The following is a 16,971-nucleotide window of genomic DNA, read 5'->3' as shown; positions in this document are numbered from 1 at the left end:
GTGAATCTTAAATTATTATTATTTCTTCCTGTCGCTTACACCCGAGGTGGGGGAGTTGGGGTGGGGGGAAGGGAATAGGAGGGGGGGAGTGCCTCTCCCCCTAAGGCACTGACTGGGAAAGCCGAAAGTAGGGAGAAGGGAGGCCACATTGTCCCCACTTTCTGGGGCTGGGCCCCAGGTCTCCCCAGCCCTGGGCTCCCCCCATCACCTGAAATGCTAAGATGAGGCCCAGGACAACCCGATCTCCCCGCCACCCCAATATATTACATCATCACTTTTTAAATAGATAACAGGGACTGGTCCCGCTACCCCCTCCCTGTGACCCCTCCCCACTGTTAGGGGTACCTGGGCAGCTGTGCAAATGGGCATGGGGGTGCATGGAAGGGAGGAAGAGCACCGGGCCCCTGAACCTGCCCCTTTTAAGGAGGGGGAGGAGCCGTCAGGCCAGGAAGGGGAAATAGTGCAAGGCAGAGCCCAGGCTGCAAAAGGGGTCCAGCACCCAGCGAGGAAGGGGGGGTGTCCCCCACCCCCAGCAGAATTGGGTAGTTAAAAATCTGAAACTAGATTTCAACAAGACCAACAGAAGAGGCTATGTACAGAATGGGGGTGGATTCAATCCTAAGAGCAGAGTGGGGATTATTCTCCCCTGCCTGACAGGAAGCCCGGCTGGCAAGGATCTGGGAAGGGGATCACTTTCCCACAGGTCCGCAGCCCCTTCCCCTGCGGCCAAGCGAGAAGTTCTGTGCCCACTGCCTTGGCAAGGGGGCGCCGCTCACCAGCTGGGGTGGATGAGGAGCGTGAAGACAGCTCGCTCCAGTGGCCGCGGGGGGCGCTCGCCCACTCAGAGCATGGCCGCCAGATGGCGCCGGCTCGCCCGCTCTCCACAAGGCTCTTCCAACCCCTTACCCTGTCCCACACCCTTCGCTGCGCCAGCCCGGGGGCGGCGTGAGTCAGGGGCGGCAGCGGTGGCGGCGGCTCCGGCTCGCACCTGGGCGGGGAGGAGATGGGGAGGAGGAGAAGAGGGTAGGACGCCGCCCGGCCCGCCCTGCCCTCTGGCCCCGGGGAGGGAGCGGCGGGAACAAGACATTCCCTGCCCAGGGCCGTGGGGAGGGAGGGCTAGGGAGGGGAGTGGAACGGAGCGGCTCCCCTAGCTGGGCGGGGCCCCTCTACTGCCCCCAGGGGCAGGCGAGCCAATCAGGCCACCCCGCCCCCTTCTCCACGACCCCATGACTCAGCGCCGGGAGCAGGGCGGAGGGGGACTGGGATGGCTCCTTCCTTACAGGCCCAGTCCCCCAGTCTTTCAAGCTTCCACCTGGCTTTCCCCCACCTACCCTTCCTTTGCCGGCCCCCTTTGCATAATTCACTGCCAGGAAAAAGGAACAGAAACCAGGAAGGAGGGGTCTCGAAAGGGAGGGGCAGTCCTTCACCCCCTTACACAGCCAAAACCCCCAAGGGGCATAGGGGCGGGGCAAGGCTTTGGTCCCAAGCCCCCACCCCCTAGAAACCCGCATAGCCGAAGTGGGACCCACAAATTAGAAATACATTATTGCTTCTACTCCCCAGGAGCAGCTGGGGACAGGGACCCCACTTTTACAATACAGCTGTAAATATATACACAATATATGTATCACTCCTTGGGGGATCACCCCAATTTGGGGAGCCTCTGCCCCAATACCTTCTTAGCTTGGAATTGGAATGAGGGCTCTGGGAGGAAGGGCTGATGCTGATGCCAGCAAGGCTCCGTGCCCCAGACCCCTGCTGTGTCTGTCCTGCGTGCTCCCACTGCTTGGCATGGGTGTCCCCGGCCTTGTGCTGCTTCAGTCTGGCCCTCGTCCCTCTTTAAGAGGACTCCATGGCACCTTCAGCCTGGGGTGTGGTGGGTGCCCCTTCCTCCTCATCGTCATCAGGGGGCCCTGGGGTAGAGACCGGGGGCCCAGTGGGGGCTGACTGCTCCCAGAATCGAGCTAGAGAGAGGCGGAAGGTGTCCAGGTGGCCATTGGAGAGGTCGAGGCCAGCGGGGGATGCAGCAGCGGTAGAGGGTGGTGGGTAGTGGGGTGGTGCATCGTCCTTGCGGCGCCGTCGGGTGCGCACCTCCAGGCAGTTCTGGCCTTTGAGGTGGCGCTGCAGGTGGTCCTCCTTGGCGAAAGCCTTGTGGCACAGGTGGCACTCATAGGGCCGGTCCCCTGTGTGCAGGTGCATGTGGTTCTTGAGGTCGTAGCTGTGCAGGAAGCGGGCTGGGCAGTGCGGGCATGAGTAGGGGCGCTCTCCCGTGTGCTTCCGCATGTGGATCTTCAGCTTGTCGTTCCTGGCACAGGCAGGGGTGAGGGGCAGGGAGGTGTTCAGGATGGGATCCCTGGCTCCTCCTGGTCATCCCACCCTGGCCTTGTCCCATCCCTGTTCCTCACCATTTGTTACCCCACTATTGCCCCAGGAGATACCCTGCTAGCTCACCTCTAGCTTAACTAGGCCTTGTCATTATCCACTCCTCTGCTTCCAGCACTGCCCTCCTGGGCACCGAATCCTCCATGCTCCAGATCCACCCCCTGCTGGCTTGTTTTCTTCTGCTCTCCTCACTCCAGTAACCCACCCATGCCCCAGTCCCTCCAGGACCACCTACCACCACCTCGGGTCTCCTAACTTCTTCCCCATCTCCTCCCACCCTGTCCCCTACCCATGGCCCCTGCCGGGCCCTTCCCCCCTTGCTGCTCACCTGGTGAATCGAACACCGCAGACCTCGCAGGCAAAGGGCTTCTCGCCTGTGTGGGTCCTCATGTGGCGAGGCAGTTTGCCTGCCCCATGGATGATCTTGTGGCAGACAGGGCACTCCTGAGGCATCTGGGAGCGGCGTTTGCGCACCAGCTTGTCTTGGCTGTCCAGGCCTGGTGCCAGGTTGTCCTGGTGCAGGGAGCTTAGGTAGGCCATCAGGTCAGGATCGATGGCATCCTCATCTGAGCCCAGCTCCTCTGGGGACAGCGGGGGCCCGCCACCCTGCGCCAGCCCATAGGCTGGGGGATATACCAGCTCCTCTTCTTCTTCCTCACCCTCATAGGGTTCGTAGCTCTGGGGACCCTCAGGAGGGGAGGCAGTTCCTGTGGGAGGGCTGTAGCTGTCCCCCGGCCCACTGCCCCCACTGCTGCCCACTCTGCCCGCCACCTCCTCCTCCTCATAGGTCAAGGGATGGGCGGGCACTGTGGGCACCTCAGGGACTAGGTGGTTTGCTCTGGCCCCCTTGGTTTGCAGGAAAGCTTTCCGGGGCTTGCGGCTGCGGCGGGCAACAGGCCGAGGTGGCGGTGGCGGAGGTGGTGGGAGGGGCACCTGTGGAGGACTGTCTTCACCATTGGGAACTCCAGAGGCCGTGGCTGTGGCAAAGGCCTCCAGATACTGGCGGGCTCGCTCACAGTCATCCTCGTCCGGGCTGGGAGCTTCTAGCCCACTGCCCTGCAGAATCTCCATGCAAGCAGCGATGACACACGGGATCTCCAGCAGGCGGGCAGCCTGGAGCACAGCTGGCATGTTGGCGCTGCTGGTGGTCAGTGTGGCTGTATAGGCAAATTCAAGGAGGGCGCCTAGTGCCTCTGGCCCTACAAAGTCCAGCTCACACACACCGGCCCCTGCTCCCCCAGTGGCCGTCCCGCTACCCCCGGCCCCCATGACAGCTCCGCCACCGCCCTCAGTGAAAAGCTTCTTGAAGTAGTGGCTACAGGCAGCTAGCACAGCCCTGTGGGTGCGGTATTCAAGGCCCTGCGTCCGGATGGTGAGGTCACATAGGTGGCCCAGCTGGCGCTGCTCATTGAGGCAGCTCAGGAGCTCACTGCTGTGGTCCGGGAATGGAATCCCAATCAGGTCATCCTCGGGGCTCCCCATCTTCTCCTGCAGAGTCAAGTAGAGGGGAGATTAAGAGCGCTCAGCCCACAGGGGTCTGGGGAAAGAGGACCAACTTTAGCCAATACTTATTGAGGGATGACTGCATGCCAGTCACCCTTCTGAGTACTTTACACTCATTTCATCTTCCAGAACCCTCTGAAGTATGATCATCATCTGTTTCACAGACAAGGAAACTGAGGTTCAGACAGGTGAAGTGATTTTCCAAGTTAAGTGCAGAACAGTGTTCAAACTCAGGGAGTGGGCCCGGTCCTTGTTCCTAACCACTATACTATTCTACTCTGCCTCTGTGGCAGCAGGAGCCCTGCCTTTCTGGCCCTTTCATGGAGGTCCATCTATGTCACCTGCCCCATTCCCCATCTCTTTGGAAGGAGCAGTGGACTGGGAGATAGGATGCCTGGGTCCCGGTTCAGGCTTCATAAAGAATTGGCTGAAGGACCGGGGGTGGTACTGGCAGCTGGCCTCAGTCATTTGAAAAGTGAGGTAACAGTCTTTGTAATGAACCTCCTCATAACCTGGGGAGAGGCCAATGAGAGAGTTCAGACTCACACTGGACCAAGATCTGCTGGAGGCCAGGCACAGACAGGTGCTTTAACTCAAGTTATCGCTCTCCAAAGCGGTTAGGACACTGTAAAACATATGCAAACAAGAGAAGGCAGCTTCCAAGCATCATCCTCTTCCTCCTCTTGCCCCTCCCCTGGCTACCAAAAGTTCATCTCCCCTTCTAGATCCCCCACTTCTCCAGGCCAAACGGGAAACACAGCTCCCAGCATCCCTCCCCCCACATCCTCCCCTCCCCCATGGGGCCAAGGAGCAGCCACCCTTTGCTGGGGTGTCACTGGCTGGCGCGGGTGCTTCCTGCCCCGCACAGATAAGCATCGCCCCCGCCCCCTCCCCCACTGCCAATAGGCCAAGTTCCAGTCCCACCCCCCACCTCCCCCTCAGCTACTGCCACCCCTCCCTCCCTATTCCAGGAGAGCCCCGTCTCCAGAAGGCCTTGGTCCTGCTCTCTATCCTTTACCCTCCAAGGCCCAGCCACAGGAGGTGGGTGCAGAGCAGCCAGGAGGTGGGTGCAGAGCACCAAGGCTGGCAGAGGTGTCGGCAGGGGTTGGGGCCTGGAAGGGGGTGAGACCTGCTTTAAATCCTGGCTCTGCTACTGTCTTGCTGAATGACCTTGGGAAAGTCATTTCTCTCTGTGCTTCCATTTCCTCAGCTGTGCAAGGAGGGGGTGGAAGTAGTGGCCCCAATGGCTCAGACCTTCAGCCCTGACATTTTGTGGGTCTGGAGCAACTGGAGACAGTGCTGGGGCTTGGAAAGAACTGGGCTCTGGAGTCAGCCAGGCTTGAGTTTGAATCCTGTCTCTGCCACCAGTTAGCTCCATGACCTTAAACAAGTGATTTAATCTCTGAGCCGCCTTCCTCATCTGTAACATAGGATAATTCCACCTGACTCCTAGGGTTGTGGTGAGGGTTAAATGAGACCAAATATGGCACAATGCCTGATATGCAGTAGGGATTCGATAAATGTTCTGGCCTTGGCCTAGCCTGGGGTCAGATTCCACTATACAGATGGCCTCTGTTAAGAAAACTACTTGGGGACAGGTCTGCCTCCCTCCCTCAAATCACCCTGAGGGAACCAAGCTACTACTAGCTACATGACTTTGGACAAGTCACTTCCTTTCCTGAGGAAGCCTGTTCCTCATATGTAATATTAAAGACTGGCCCAGATGATCCCTAAGGCAAGTCCCACTGACATTTTGTCAGTGTCCCCTCTGCCACTCCAGCAGCTGTTCAGACCTGGCCATTGATGGGGAAAGGTTTTTTTTTTTTTTGGGTGGGGGGGTGAATGGGGGAGTCAAGCCACAAATTTCCTCTTTAGGACACAAGAAGTGCATTCTCTGTGTCTGCCTCCCTGCCTGCCCTCTTCATTGCAAGGCCAGGGCTCCTGCACAGAAACCTTGGGTGAGCAGCACCCGCATGTCCTTCTTTGCTTGTAAGCCACCTCTAGGCACCCTTAGATAGCTCACCTGTTCCCACCGTAAGTCCGCAAACCACTTCTCTCCCTAGGAACCAAGCCATCTGGGAGCTCTCCCTGCTCCCTTTAATCCTCCTGCCTGTACTTTACAAATGGTACAAGTGGCAAATGGCCCCCAGACTTGGGAACAAACAAAAACCAGGTGGGCAGCAGCAGCAGCAGGAGGAGCAGCAGCAACAGTGGCTGCAGCTACTTAAGCAGCAGTAGGCACCCTCCTGGGCCCAAGTGGATCCTGTCCCTCCTAAGGGGGATGGGTGGGGCTGTCCTCGCTGTCCATTGGCTGGGAGCTGGGCACTGGCAGGCACGTGGCTCACCCCATCCCTCTCCCTCCTTCCCTGCCCACCCCACCCATTCCCGCTGCTAAACCCGCCTCCTTTCTCCCACCCCAGGGCCGGTCTCCGTGGCAACTTGGTGTGGTGGGGGCGCTGATTGGCTGACCTCACTGTCAGGTCACAGGCTCAGGCTCGTTCACCACGCAACTCACACAGGGATTGGGCAAGGGTGGGTGTTTAACTCCTTAGGCCCAAATCCAATGCCCATGGCCAAGAGGTAGCAATGAAAGAGGGGGAGAGGCAGAGGACATGTGTGGGAAGGAGAGGGTGTTCATAAGCTTCTCTAGCTTCTGGGAAACTCCCCTAACCCTTACCCAGGGCTCTAACACCCATGCCAATATAGGTGCCACCTGGAGCTATGGTGGTGCCAACCAGGCCAAGGGGCCCTCCTAGACCCATCATCTGGGAGGGATGGGTGGGGCAAAGGCCTCCCCCTTCTTTCTGCCAGGGCAGGGCACTGGTGCCAGGGTGCCCACCCTACCTTGGGCACCTTTCCCACCTCTGCATCCCAGAGGGCCCAGTCCCCTGACGCCCCATGAAGGCGGCCCATCCCCACCCAATCTGGCATGCCCCCTCTTGCTAAGACCTTGTGGGCATGGGTGTGTGTGGTGGTTGGGGGTGCAGCTGTGCCAGGGAACCGGGCAAGGTCTGTTTGGTCTGTTTGCCTGGTAGGGGGAAGAACTGGGGGCCCCACCCCATCACTCCCCTCTTTCCCGCCACCCCCCCAGGCTCCCCTCACTGTCAGGCCTGCTAGACCGGCCAAGCCGGTGGGCAGCTCTCTTGAAACTGGGCCCTGAGTCAAGCCTGCCCTGTCCTTGGTTGGGGGAAGACTTCAGGGTGAGAAAGTTGGGAGGGGGTAAAGGTGGGAGTGCCTATCACCTACCCTTCAGTGCTCAAGGGCACCTGGCAGGGTATGTCCAGCACCAAGAAACCAAAAGGTGGAGGCCACTGGCCTGGTCTTGGAAAGAAAAGGGAGATGGGAACTCTTTCCGGGTGCTGACCTCAGGCAGGGTCCAGTGCAGGGCTGGGGGCCACGAAGGCCAACACTGCTGGCTTGAGCCAGCCGAAGGGCAGGGATAGCAGGCCCTGAACAGGGCAGCTGAGTAAAGCTGACCCCCCTTTCCCCCACCCTGGGGATTAGGGGAGTGAGGCTTAGTGTGGGGGGCAGCAGGCGGAACCAGGATTAGCAGCAGAGAAAATAGATATGGGCCTGGGACACAGGCACGCAGAGCCCCCCCTCCCCAGGTTCCAAGGCCCCTACCTCTAGGCTCTGCCAGGGAGCCTGAGAGGGGCCTGGCCAGGCTTCTCCAGGAGCAGCAGCTTGGGGTGAGGGAGGATGAGGACCAGGCTGTAACATCTTCCTGCCAGGGATGATGGAGAGACCTGAGGCTCTTCCCAACGCTCCTGGTGCCTTGGCTGGCCACCCCTCCCCCTTACTTCTGTCTCCTTTCTCCCTCCACCCCCCCACCCCAACTCCAGCCTCAGGTTCTCTTCCTGTTTTTTTGGAGCTAAGTTTGCACGAAGCCATGGCTTTGGCCTGCGTCTGGACCAGGGGGGTGGGGAAATTGGACAGCCAGTCCAAAGTCCTAAGGGACCCAGGAATCCTTGTTCTCCAGCTTCCCCCACCGCTTCCCAGGGCCTCTGGGGCCCAGGAGCTGCAGCCATCTGGATTGCCCAGTTGGGGAGGGAAGGTAAAGGGGCTGAGCCTCTTCTCACATGAGGACTAGAAGGGCTTCAAAGAAGAGGTTCTCTGCCCAGGGATGCTCTGACATTTATGGAGCCCTTCTCTCCCCACCCCAGCCCCTCCAAGCTTGTGCATGCCTTCCCCATCCCCCATATGACGCTTCCCCCTCCTAACCTCACCACCCCCAGCACTCACACTTCCTGGGGGCCGAGGCGGGGAAGAGAGACCGCAAGCCACGAAGGGGGAAGGAGGCGAGGGGAGTTGGCTGCTTCCCGGTGCTGTGGGGGTTAAGTCTCTGCCCAGCTCCAAATCCCCCAGTCCTGGTTCTGGGGCTCCTGAAATGAGGGAGACCTTAATGCTTCCCTACATTTTCTTTCCATGACACCAGCCCTTGCCCATAGCCCCTTAGTCCCCATCAAGGGAAATATGAGGAAGATAAAAGATGGCGGAGGAAGGAATGGGGGCAACTCTCTCAGCCTTAGCGCCGCCACCTTTGGGTATTCCCTGCCATCATCCAGCCCTCACTCTTGCCCCTCTCTTGGCCTCCTGGTTCTGTCCCCTCATTGCCTCCTCCGACCCTTGTCTTCCCTCCACAAGTCCACCCTTTGCTTTCCTTCCTTCAGCCCTCCCTGAACTCCGCATCCTCTCCACCCCATCAGTGTCCCTAGGCCTCCTCCCAGGAACTGTCCCTGCCTCTCCTTTCTCTTCCCCTTGGTTCTCTCTTGCTCAAACTTCTCCACTTTCTCCATTGGCCCCCTGCTCCAACCATCCATTCCCTTCTTCCCAGGCATATGAGGGGTGGAGAGCCGCAGAGGAATTAAATCAGGGACCAGGCCTGCCTTCCAATGCCTGGTCTTGCCAAAAGATGGTTGAGTTTAGGGCACCCACACCCCACTTTTGGATGAAGCAGGGGACCACAATTTGGGAGCCAGTTGGGGAGAATGAGTGGTGGAGGGGGGTTTGCAGCGAGAGCGGATGTGGGGTGGGGGTGGGGGGACAACCTGTGCCTCTCTGCCCGTCAGAGTTTCCAGCCCTGGAGCTGCTGGACTTTCCCCGGAGGGTGCCCACCCTGGACCAGGCAATTGTCCACTTGGACAGACTCTGGCCATCAGGATTCTCAGCAGGGTCTGCCTGGACAGTGCCAGCTCCCCTTAGGGCCTGAGGAGACCGCACAAGGTGCCAGGGTCTGCCCTGTGCCCACCCCCTCCCCCCCAGCCTAGTGTCTCCGGCTGGGTAACCGAGCTGGCTGGTAACCCCACACCCGCCAAGCCGCCAGCAGAAACCTGAGCCCCCCAGCCCCAGAGGACACCCCAGCCCGATCTCCGGAGCCCGGCTCTCTGCCAGCCTGTCCAGCCTCCTGGCCTGGCCCAGCAATCACTCAGTCCCTATAGGCCCCTCTTCTGCCTCTCCTGATCTGCTCGGGTCCCCTTAAACACTGAGGCCTCCCCACATTCCCGCTTCTCAAGCCCTCAGTTCCCTAAACTCTCTTGTGAAGTCTGGGCACCCTCTTCCTGACCTGTTTTTCAGTCCTCTGACCCTTGGCTAATTCTAGGCCTCCAAGCCCCCCTGGGGCCTGATCTCCCAAGCCAGAGCAGGGCCTACTCACCTGAACGCTGAGGGGCCTGGCGGCAACTCCTCCTGGCCCCTGGGGGCAGCAGGTTGGGACAGGTGGGGGAGGGCCAGGCTTGGGGGGAGGTAGGGTGGCTGTTCCCCGCTCCAGCTCCCTCCTTCAAAGGGGCCGCCCACGACCTGGCCCAGCCCCTCCCCCCTACAGCCTTAACCCTCTGGGTGCTGTCCCCCCTCCCCCCAGCTTGGAGGGAGGGGTTACCGGAGGGCTGGCGGCGTGGGAGAGGGCCCAGAGTCTCTGCCTGTGGTGCCTGAAGCCCCAGCAGAACCCACCCACTCCTGTCCTTACTCAGTCCTAAAAGAGGAAAAAGGTGAGGGGTAGGAAAGGTAGGAGCTGGGACAGTCCAGGAGGACAGAGATGAGGAGGAGCAATGGGAGAGGCTACTGGAGGTGGGACCAGGAGAAGGAAGAAGGGAGGGGAGGGGACGGAGGCAGCTGTGGCTAGAAGAGGGAGGAGGGGAACCCTGGACAGTCAGTGCCAGGGGTGACAGGTGCCTGGGTCCCAGCCCCTCAGAGTATGTGGGATGGGGACCACAAGGAAGCCCTCTAGACCCCAGCAAGCTCCTCAGTCCCCCTGGGAGCTGGCCGAATTCTCCCTACCCTGTACTGGGCTGGGGCCCTCAGGGGCTGGGCAAGGCGGCACCCCGCCCTCCCCATAGCCTCACCCCAAACCCACTCACATACCACAGTTCCTTGCCCGGGTGCCAACCCCTGCCAACCAGGCCAGGGGGCAGCACTCATGCCAGCCCCCAATAGCCAGGGGGATCAGGGGGAACAGAGCTGGCCTGAGGGGGATAGACAGATTGGGGGAGCTGTGGGCACCGAAAGAGGAAGGAGCTGGGAGGGGGCATCTGCTGGGAAGCGCCTAGCCCCACCCCTTGCGCAAGCTGCTGCCACCCTGGCCGGTTGGGTGGGACCCGCCTGGGCCTGAGGGGCAACTCAGGAGAGCTCTGAGCCCAGACATGGATGGGCCACCAAATTTCACTTAAACAACTCCTGGGGTCCCTTATTCCTGGAATGAGGGGTGCCCTAGTGACCCCCAGACACTAGGCCATCCCAAATCCTGCTAGGCTTGGGGGTACCATAGAAATGCCCCCTAAAATATCCCCTCCCCTTTCCCCCAACAGCTGCTGGCTCAATGCCGCTGGCCTGCTGCCCCTCACCAGCTCCCGGCCCGGTTGGCACCTACCCACCAGGATGCTGGCAGTCCTGCCCTCCTCTCCCTCCTACCCCCCTGCTCCCAGCGCCCCATGCCAACTGTGGGCCTGAGGTGGGGGAGGGTCACCCTGTGCCTTGGTGCCAGCCAGACGGGCCCAGGCCCCTAGGCCTTACAGATAAGGCCTAAGACCCTGTTCTCAAACCACCTCCTCAAGAGGTAGCACACTGGTCAGGGCCTACACAGAGAGAGCCTAGGAGGCAATGGACAGCCCTGTGAGTAGTTAATGAAGGCTCCACACCCCAGGGTGGGGGCCAGTGTCTCTCCCTACCACCAGGTGCCAACCTCCCGGCATTCCCCCTGCCCAAGCATTTGCTTGGGCACCAAAGTCCCTGCAATTCCTGAGAGCCCTAGTGCCTGCAGCCTGCAAGGGAGTGGGGTGGGGCTGCTCTCTGCCCTTTGATCCCCATAAAGGGAGGGAACCAGCCTAGAGGGCAGGGGGCAGGGAGGGAGTTCATGGGGCCCCTCTGTTTCACCCCTGCCAGGGGCAGCAGGGCAGGGTGTGGGCATCTTTTGGGTGGGGCCCTAAGGTGAGGACAGGTAGCATGTCTCAGCAAGGGAGATGGATGTCAATCATAGGTACACAGCATCCCATGGCAATGCGATAGCAAGAATAAAGTGGGGGGATGCAGAGGGTACCCACATTCCAACCCATCCCAGTTCTGACTTTCACCTTCATCCAGAAACACTTCCAGACTCAGCCAAATTGAGAGCTCAAGGACTACAACTCCCAGTGTGCACCACAATTGCTTTGTATGTACCTTGGGAGTTGTAGTCCCCCTTGAGAAGCTCTGGGTTCTCCTCTTCCCCAGAGCCTTGCTGATGGGTGAGAAGGGCAGATGACTTGGTCATGAATCTCCAAGGGGGCTAGGTTTAAGAAGAGGTAAAAGGCTAGGATGTCCATGGTGGAGGAAAGAGGACCCCTGCTCCCAGGCAAAGGGGGAGGAAAGGAGGAAGGAAGGAGGAGAGGATGTCTGTTGAAAGGGGCATATGGGTGGGGAGGAGTTGGGGGGACGGTGGAAACAGGAAGGAAACTGAAGCCAGAGACATGAGGTCGAAAGTAAGGGCCTGGGGGAGCCCCACTCTGAGGCCTGTCAGGGACTGGGATGGCATTTCCCCATGTCATTCTGTTGGCCTGGGAGGAAGAAGAGGATCAGTGATGTCAAAAGATAGCAAATTGACATATTTATGGGGGATCACTGTTTCATTTGCCTGCCATCAGCCCTCTTTTGCCTGGGGCACCTTCGACCCCTGAATCTGGCACAGGTATTTGCTGACTGGGAAGCTCTGAAGGCTGACCTGGTTCTGGGGAAGATAGCAGGCAAAGGAAGGGGTTTGGGGAGATCAGGGCTAGGCCTGATGGTGAATATGGTAGAGGTATATGTGGGGTTAGGCCCAGGTGTGGTCAGGGCAAGTGCTGGCAAATGAGAATGCTATCCTCCATAGCAGAACCATGGCATCTGGAGGCCTCAGGGAAGAGAGGGCTAAGATGTCCATCCCAAACTATGGGACAGGATGAAGAGGGCAGCCCTCTCTGGTCTCCCTGGGGAATTTGTTAAAGGTAGCTTTGTCCCTGTGCCAGTGAATATTAAAGATGGCAACTCAGGGGGCCAGGTGGTAGCTGGGTGCCTTTCCCTAGTAGAGGTGGAAGTCAGAAGTGGGCAGAGGACCTGCTTTGAAGCCACTTTTCCTGGGCTCCCCAGGGCTCTGGGACAGATGCTGGCAGGCCCCAGCCAAGACTCTTGCCAAGACCTAGGCCTGGCTGGGTGTGGGGGTCTTTCTTGTCCCCACCCCACCAAACACTTGATGGTGGATGACAGCAGCTCTATCCCCTTCCTCCCAGTCCCCCGGGCCCGCCTTGGCGCCTGGCCGCTTCTGTGTTGGCAAGAGTGGGGGGGAGGGGGCAGCGAGGCAACTTCAAACTGTCCGGGCAAAACGTCAAGTTTACTCACGAGTTTACTCAGCACAAGGAGGGGGAAGAGGCCAGGGCGGGCACACCCCATGCCAGGGTCCTATCCATCTGCCTGTCCCCACCTTCCTCCCCCACTGTTCTCTCCCGCCCTAGGCCAAAACAGGCATAGGCCCTAAGGCCTGGTGTCAGGGCAGTCTTAACTCTCAGGAAGGTCAGGGAGCCAAGCGGGGCAGAGGCAGGAAGCCCCGCAGCAGGCCCAGAGGCTTCTGTCAGAGGGCAGTGCCCTGCCTGGAGCCCATTCACTACTCATCTTGGGGCCTTGGTCTTGGGCCAGAAGAATTGGGTCTCTCAGCCATTAAGAAGGGGGCAGTACCAGGCCAAACCTTCTCCATCTGAGCAGTCCCCTGGGCAGTGACTTCTGACCCCAAATGCCCAGTCCTAGGCTGTCCCTCAGTCTGATGCCATCCAGGCAGCCATAGGATCAGGGGCTGGTTCTCTCAGCCTTGGCTTGGAATGGGGGGCTGGCACCCTATCTGACCTACTTCCCTTTCCTCCCCACCTGCTTTCATTTGCTTCTCTCCCCCAGCCTTCACTGTCCCCACCCCAGAGCGCTCCGCCCCCCATGCCTGCTGGGCCCCCTCCCCCACCCTTCCCCAGGGTGCCAAGTGCAGGCACACAAAGGGCCTGATGGTGCATTGTTAGCCCAGCCCCCGCTGCCCGCCGCACCCTCCCTGGGCAGGCACTAGGCCAAGGAGGAGCTGGGGGCCCTGGGTGCCAGGGGGCACCATGGGGAAGAAGAAGGGGACAGCACCTGTCTTCCAGACACTGGGGTCTACATCAGCCAGAACTGAGTAGTGATGAGAGTCCCATTAGAGCAAGCCTGTCTCCTTGACACCTGAGCCTAGTGGGCACTGCCTTCTTTCTTCCCCAGAGCCCCATTCTGGTGGTATTAACCCCTTTTTGACCCCTGTGCCAGGGCTGGGGGTGTGTGGTACCCAAGGGAGGGGACAGTGTCTGGGGGTGCCAGCAGGTTGTGTTGTGCCCACAGCAACCATGTAACAGAGGCACGCTGGGGGAGCTGGGGTCCCTGGGGCCAGGGACAGAGGCACTGACAGAGATTTCTCCTTGTTTCATCAGCTGCTCCAGGGGGAGCCCCCTACCCTTCTCCCCAGTTACCACTAAGGAGGAACACTAACTATCATCCAGACATAGTCACACATATGTCCCTCTCTAGCGCAGCACAACACTCCTTATGCCCACTCTCTCCTCCCCAACCTGATGTCCACTCCATGCCAGCTCTCCCAGCAGTGCCAGGCGGGTACAGGGGTGACCAAACCAGTTGGTGTGTGTGGGGCAGCAGGAGGCAACCCCATAATCCTCCAGGCCTCATCCCCACACTCACACATACTCCCTTAGGGACCAGACAGTTCCCATCCTGCTTTAACCCCTCACAGCCCAATCTGGTTCCCCCGTCCCTGATAAGCGGTCTCCCTCCTCCAGGAATAAGTTGGGGGAAGGGGGAATAGCTGCGCTGACTCATTCCCATTCTCGGCTGCAGCTAGGGGTCTCCAAGGCATTCGGGCGGGGGTCAATTCAAGAACACCCTCCACCTGGCCCGGAAGCCTGGACAGCCTGCCGGTCTCCCCCTCTCCCCAGCACCCACTTCCGGTGTCCCAAACTAGGTCAGCAGCGCTCGTTTCCTGTGGGTCAGCTAGCACCGGCGCCTCTGCCCCTCCCCTGCTCCGGACCCAGGCTCCCCGCCCCCCTGCCCCCCAGGGCGCCCCGAGGTCTCACCATGTCTCAGCCGCCCTTTGATACGTGGGGGTTGTGCGGGGCGGGGGGCAGGGGACCCGCCCTCTCTCTAAACACCAGCAGGGCCGGGGCGCCTGGGCAGGCACGTGTCCGGGCACAACCCGCTGCCCACGCCGCCCCCCCACTCCCGCCCCCACCTCGCTCTGGCCGGGACACGTCGCTCTCTTACTTGGGATGGGGTGGGAGGAGGGAGAGAAAGCTGGAAATTGAAAGCAGCGCCCCCCACCCCTTTGAATGGCAGCCTTCTGCCAGGCGCACTCTGTAGGTTCTACAACAACACAGTAGCGACCCCCACTCTGGGCTGGGGCAGGTGCGCCGGCGCCGGTGGGGGGACGGGTAGTAGGTAGGAGAATTCTTCCTAGTCACCCGCCCTCGCTCTTGGGTTCTGTGGTCATGAGCTGGCGTGGAAAAGGTAGCGGCGGGACTGGAGCCTGAAGGAAGGGAGTGGGATTGAGGGGCAGGGAAGAGAGCGGTCGTTCTATGTCGGTTCAGAGGTTGTTGCTGAGCCCCACTACCGCTGGAGAGAGCGCGGCTCTGGAAGCGCAAGAAACCGAATAGTCCAGCCGGTAACTTTCCCCCAAGCCGCGGCTCCTCCTGCGCCCCCCCAACCCCCATGCAACTGGCCTGGGGCCAATCCACCGCGCCAGGGGGCGCGGGGTGGGGGGGGGGTGCGCGTTGTCCTAGTTAGAGTCCGTCAGCGTTTCCATTCCCTCAACTCAGTCCGGTCTGGGGTCTCCCCCTAAAGTCACGAAGGAGACTGGGGGAACGCTCAGCGTCGCCTCACCCCCTCTCCATCCCGAAGCCGTCTGTCTGTCTGATCCCAGGAGAAGTGCAGATAAACTTTCTGGGGACCCTCCGCCTAGGGTTGGGGGGCATCCGCAGTTCCTTCTCTGTCTTTCATCTCAGTTAAAACCAATTCCAGAGACCCGGGGTGTTGGGAAAGCACAGGGAAGGGGAGTGGTGGGAATGTGATCTGCATGCGTGTGTATCTGGGGGTCCCACTTACAGGACGGACGAAGGACACTGCAGTAGTCTCGAGCCTAGTGAACCCCGAGCCAGGAGACAAAAGTGGGGTACACTCACCTCTCAGCCGTCGGGTCCGCTGGCTGGAGCTGCTGAGGCTCACAGTGTGGGAAGAAGCGCGTCCCCCACCAGGCCCGGGGGCTTGGGGCCCTGCTCCGGTCCTGGTCAGAAGGCCGCGGTCAGTTGCTCGCCGCTCGCTGCTGGGGGGCTCCTCCTCCGCCGCCCTCTGCCTCCTCCTGCCGCCCGCCCCCCCTCGGCCGCCAAGAGCCGTACATTCACCTGGCTCCCACCCGCCCCCCCCTCAGGGCCCGCCTCACCTGTCCTGCTGTCTCACCTGTCCTCCAGCTTGCTTTCCCCCCATCCCTCCCCTCCCTCCCCCCGCCCCTGCCACCCCCCAAACTCCCCCCCCCCAACACTTAGAAACACCCTCTGTCACTTCCTGGTTTTTCACCCGCCCCCCCAGGCCCCCTCCCTCCGCCCAATAAGGACATAAACTTCAACCCCTTCGTCCAGCCAGTCCCTGCAGAGCGCAGATGGGTCCCTCCCTCCTTTTTTGCCCCCTTCTCCAAACTCTTACTTAGCTCTCCTAGCCTTTCCCACCCTCCTCCTTTCCCTCCTTCTTTCCTTCTCTCTGTCTCCCTTCACCTGCCGCGGTCCCTCTCTCCCCCCCCTTTCTCCTGCCCCTATCTCTCCCAGTCCACCTTAACTCAAACTCCGCCCCCGGCCCCCATCCAGCCCTTTGCTGCTGCTCTGCCCGCCCCCTGCACGCCACCGCCCTGTCCGCTCATTGGCCTGAATACCCGCTCATCTCCAGTAGGTCTCGCCTTGCGTTCGTCCAGGGAGGGGGCGGAGCCGAGGGGCTGGCCTGGAACCTGGAGAGGAGGGGGGAGGGGGCAGTGTCCGCAGCGGCCAGGGAATCGAGCACCCCCTACAGGGGCTCCCTCTCCTTCAAGAGGGGCTTCTGTAGGGTCAGGACCTCAGGAGGGAAGGGTATGAGAGGTTAGGGATAGGCTGGGTGGGGGTGAATTGGGGACTTAGGGTCTTGAGGGAGGGGGTCCCGTGAGGGGCTGTAATCAGGTCAGGGACCTAGAAGGGAGGGGGAGGGGGAGCCACCAGGCCTTCGGCTCCGGCCCCTACGCCCCACCCCCTCTCGGAGGGAGCCGGGGAGTTGAGCCTGCGGGCGCCCTGCGTCCCTCCCCACGCGTGACGGTGCCCCGCGGGGAGGGAAGGGCGCCCCAGGCAAGCAGCCTCTGTGCTGTCGCCAGTGCCCGCTGCGGCCTTGGCATTGTCGGAGGGGAGGGGCCCAGTCTGCGAAGGGGGAGGGGGCGCGCCGACGCTTTTGCTCCCCACCTCCATCCCGCGGGTTCCCTAAGTGGAGAAACTGAGTCTCCACCGAGGAGGGATAGCTTGACATGAATTCGCTGAGAGACCCAGGTGGCGAGGGGTGCCT

At 60.7% G+C, this 16,971-nt stretch overlaps 1 protein-coding gene across 23 annotated transcripts, besides 13 other annotated features; it reads right to left on the bottom strand.

Annotated features, from left to right (window-relative positions):
* Position 1: 1 nt before the first annotated feature.
* Positions 2-16,775, bottom strand: ZBTB7B (zinc finger and BTB domain containing 7B). Of its 23 annotated transcripts, none has more exons than NM_001377451.1 (6): positions 15,856-15,876; positions 15,582-15,682; positions 8,128-8,267; positions 7,510-7,609; positions 2,711-3,870; positions 2-2,305 (listed from the first exon to the last, which is right to left on the bottom strand). In NM_001377451.1, exons 4-6 carry the CDS (start codon positions 7,603-7,605, stop codon positions 1,840-1,842), a joined length of 1,722 nt encoding a protein of 573 aa, NP_001364380.1. In that variant the 5' UTR covers positions 7,606-7,609; positions 8,128-8,267; positions 15,582-15,682; positions 15,856-15,876; the 3' UTR covers positions 2-1,839. The 23 variants fall into 23 exon arrangements, with proteins under 23 accessions (NP_001364380.1, XP_047277809.1, XP_047277807.1 ...); XM_047421853.1 differs by lacking the exons at positions 15,582-15,682; positions 15,856-15,876 and adding exons at positions 9,539-9,577; positions 9,761-9,931; XM_047421851.1 differs by lacking the exons at positions 7,510-7,609; positions 15,856-15,876 and adding an exon at positions 16,322-16,775.
* Positions 740-1,209: a silencer, noted in NCBI's record as "silent region_1382". NCBI's record gives its function as "represses an Ori minimal core promoter by ATAC-STARR-seq in GM12878 lymphoblastoid cells {active_cell/tissue: GM12878}" and the evidence as "EXISTENCE:reporter gene assay evidence [ECO:0000049][PMID:35858748]".
* Positions 740-1,250: a biological region, named in NCBI's record as "melanoma risk locus-associated MPRA allelic enhancer 1:154989823".
* Positions 1,106-1,250: an enhancer, noted in NCBI's record as "145 bp 1:154989823 sequence used in MPRA reporter constructs". NCBI's record gives its function as "activates a minimal TATA-containing promoter with 1:154989823 allelic activity by MPRAs in C283T melanocytes and UACC903 melanoma cells {active_cell/tissue: C283T | UACC903}" and the evidence as "EXISTENCE:reporter gene assay evidence [ECO:0000049][PMID:36423637]".
* Position 1,178: a transcriptional cis regulatory region, noted in NCBI's record as "1:154989823 MPRA-significant variant associated with a GWAS melanoma risk locus at 1q21.3". NCBI's record gives its function as "allelic transcriptional activity by MPRAs in C283T melanocytes and UACC903 melanoma cells {active_cell/tissue: C283T | UACC903}" and the evidence as "EXISTENCE:reporter gene assay evidence [ECO:0000049][PMID:36423637]".
* Positions 5,623-6,370: an enhancer, noted in NCBI's record as "H3K4me1 hESC enhancer chr1:154984631-154985378 (GRCh37/hg19 assembly coordinates)". NCBI's record gives its function as "activates a minimal SCP1, AML or CMV promoter by ChIP-STARR-seq in primed H9 embryonic stem cells {active_cell/tissue: H9 hESC(primed)}" and the evidence as "EXISTENCE:reporter gene assay evidence [ECO:0000049][PMID:30033119]".
* Positions 7,870-8,619: an enhancer, noted in NCBI's record as "H3K4me1 hESC enhancer chr1:154982382-154983131 (GRCh37/hg19 assembly coordinates)". NCBI's record gives its function as "activates a minimal SCP1, AML or CMV promoter by ChIP-STARR-seq in primed H9 embryonic stem cells {active_cell/tissue: H9 hESC(primed)}" and the evidence as "EXISTENCE:reporter gene assay evidence [ECO:0000049][PMID:30033119]".
* Positions 10,121-10,835: an enhancer, noted in NCBI's record as "H3K27ac-H3K4me1 hESC enhancer chr1:154980166-154980880 (GRCh37/hg19 assembly coordinates)". NCBI's record gives its function as "activates a minimal SCP1, AML or CMV promoter by ChIP-STARR-seq in naive H9 embryonic stem cells {active_cell/tissue: H9 hESC(naive)}" and the evidence as "EXISTENCE:reporter gene assay evidence [ECO:0000049][PMID:30033119]".
* Positions 13,079-13,751: an enhancer, noted in NCBI's record as "H3K27ac-H3K4me1 hESC enhancer chr1:154977250-154977922 (GRCh37/hg19 assembly coordinates)". NCBI's record gives its function as "activates a minimal SCP1, AML or CMV promoter by ChIP-STARR-seq in primed H9 embryonic stem cells {active_cell/tissue: H9 hESC(primed)}" and the evidence as "EXISTENCE:reporter gene assay evidence [ECO:0000049][PMID:30033119]".
* Positions 13,245-13,294: a silencer, noted in NCBI's record as "silent region_1381". NCBI's record gives its function as "represses an Ori minimal core promoter by ATAC-STARR-seq in GM12878 lymphoblastoid cells {active_cell/tissue: GM12878}" and the evidence as "EXISTENCE:reporter gene assay evidence [ECO:0000049][PMID:35858748]".
* Positions 13,355-13,404: a silencer, noted in NCBI's record as "silent region_1380". NCBI's record gives its function as "represses an Ori minimal core promoter by ATAC-STARR-seq in GM12878 lymphoblastoid cells {active_cell/tissue: GM12878}" and the evidence as "EXISTENCE:reporter gene assay evidence [ECO:0000049][PMID:35858748]".
* Positions 14,455-14,574: a silencer, noted in NCBI's record as "silent region_1379". NCBI's record gives its function as "represses an Ori minimal core promoter by ATAC-STARR-seq in GM12878 lymphoblastoid cells {active_cell/tissue: GM12878}" and the evidence as "EXISTENCE:reporter gene assay evidence [ECO:0000049][PMID:35858748]".
* Positions 16,285-16,474: a silencer, noted in NCBI's record as "silent region_1378". NCBI's record gives its function as "represses an Ori minimal core promoter by ATAC-STARR-seq in GM12878 lymphoblastoid cells {active_cell/tissue: GM12878}" and the evidence as "EXISTENCE:reporter gene assay evidence [ECO:0000049][PMID:35858748]".
* Positions 16,585-16,824: a silencer, noted in NCBI's record as "silent region_1377". NCBI's record gives its function as "represses an Ori minimal core promoter by ATAC-STARR-seq in GM12878 lymphoblastoid cells {active_cell/tissue: GM12878}" and the evidence as "EXISTENCE:reporter gene assay evidence [ECO:0000049][PMID:35858748]".

This window comes from Homo sapiens, chromosome 1 (genome assembly GCF_000001405.40).
Source record: "Homo sapiens chromosome 1, GRCh38.p14 Primary Assembly".
Taxonomy (NCBI): Eukaryota; Metazoa; Chordata; class Mammalia; order Primates; family Hominidae; genus Homo; species Homo sapiens.
Note: the sequence above shows the minus strand (reverse complement) of the source record. Positions and strands in the feature narration are given on the sequence as shown.

Excerpts from the sequence above, each read along its gene's own strand:
- ZBTB7B (XM_017001399.2), bottom strand. The coding sequence starts at position 7,776 with ATGGCTTCGTGCAAACTTAGCTCCAAAAAAACAGGAAGAGAACCTGAG. Across the intron at positions 3,871-7,509 it reads CTCCCTGGCAGAGCCTAGAG|GAGAAGATGGGGAGCCCCGA; the intron begins GTAGGGGCCTTG and ends TTGACTCTGCAG. Across the intron at positions 2,306-2,710 it reads TGCGGTGTTCGATTCACCAG|GAACGACAAGCTGAAGATCC; the intron begins GTGAGCAGCAAG and ends TGCCTGTGCCAG.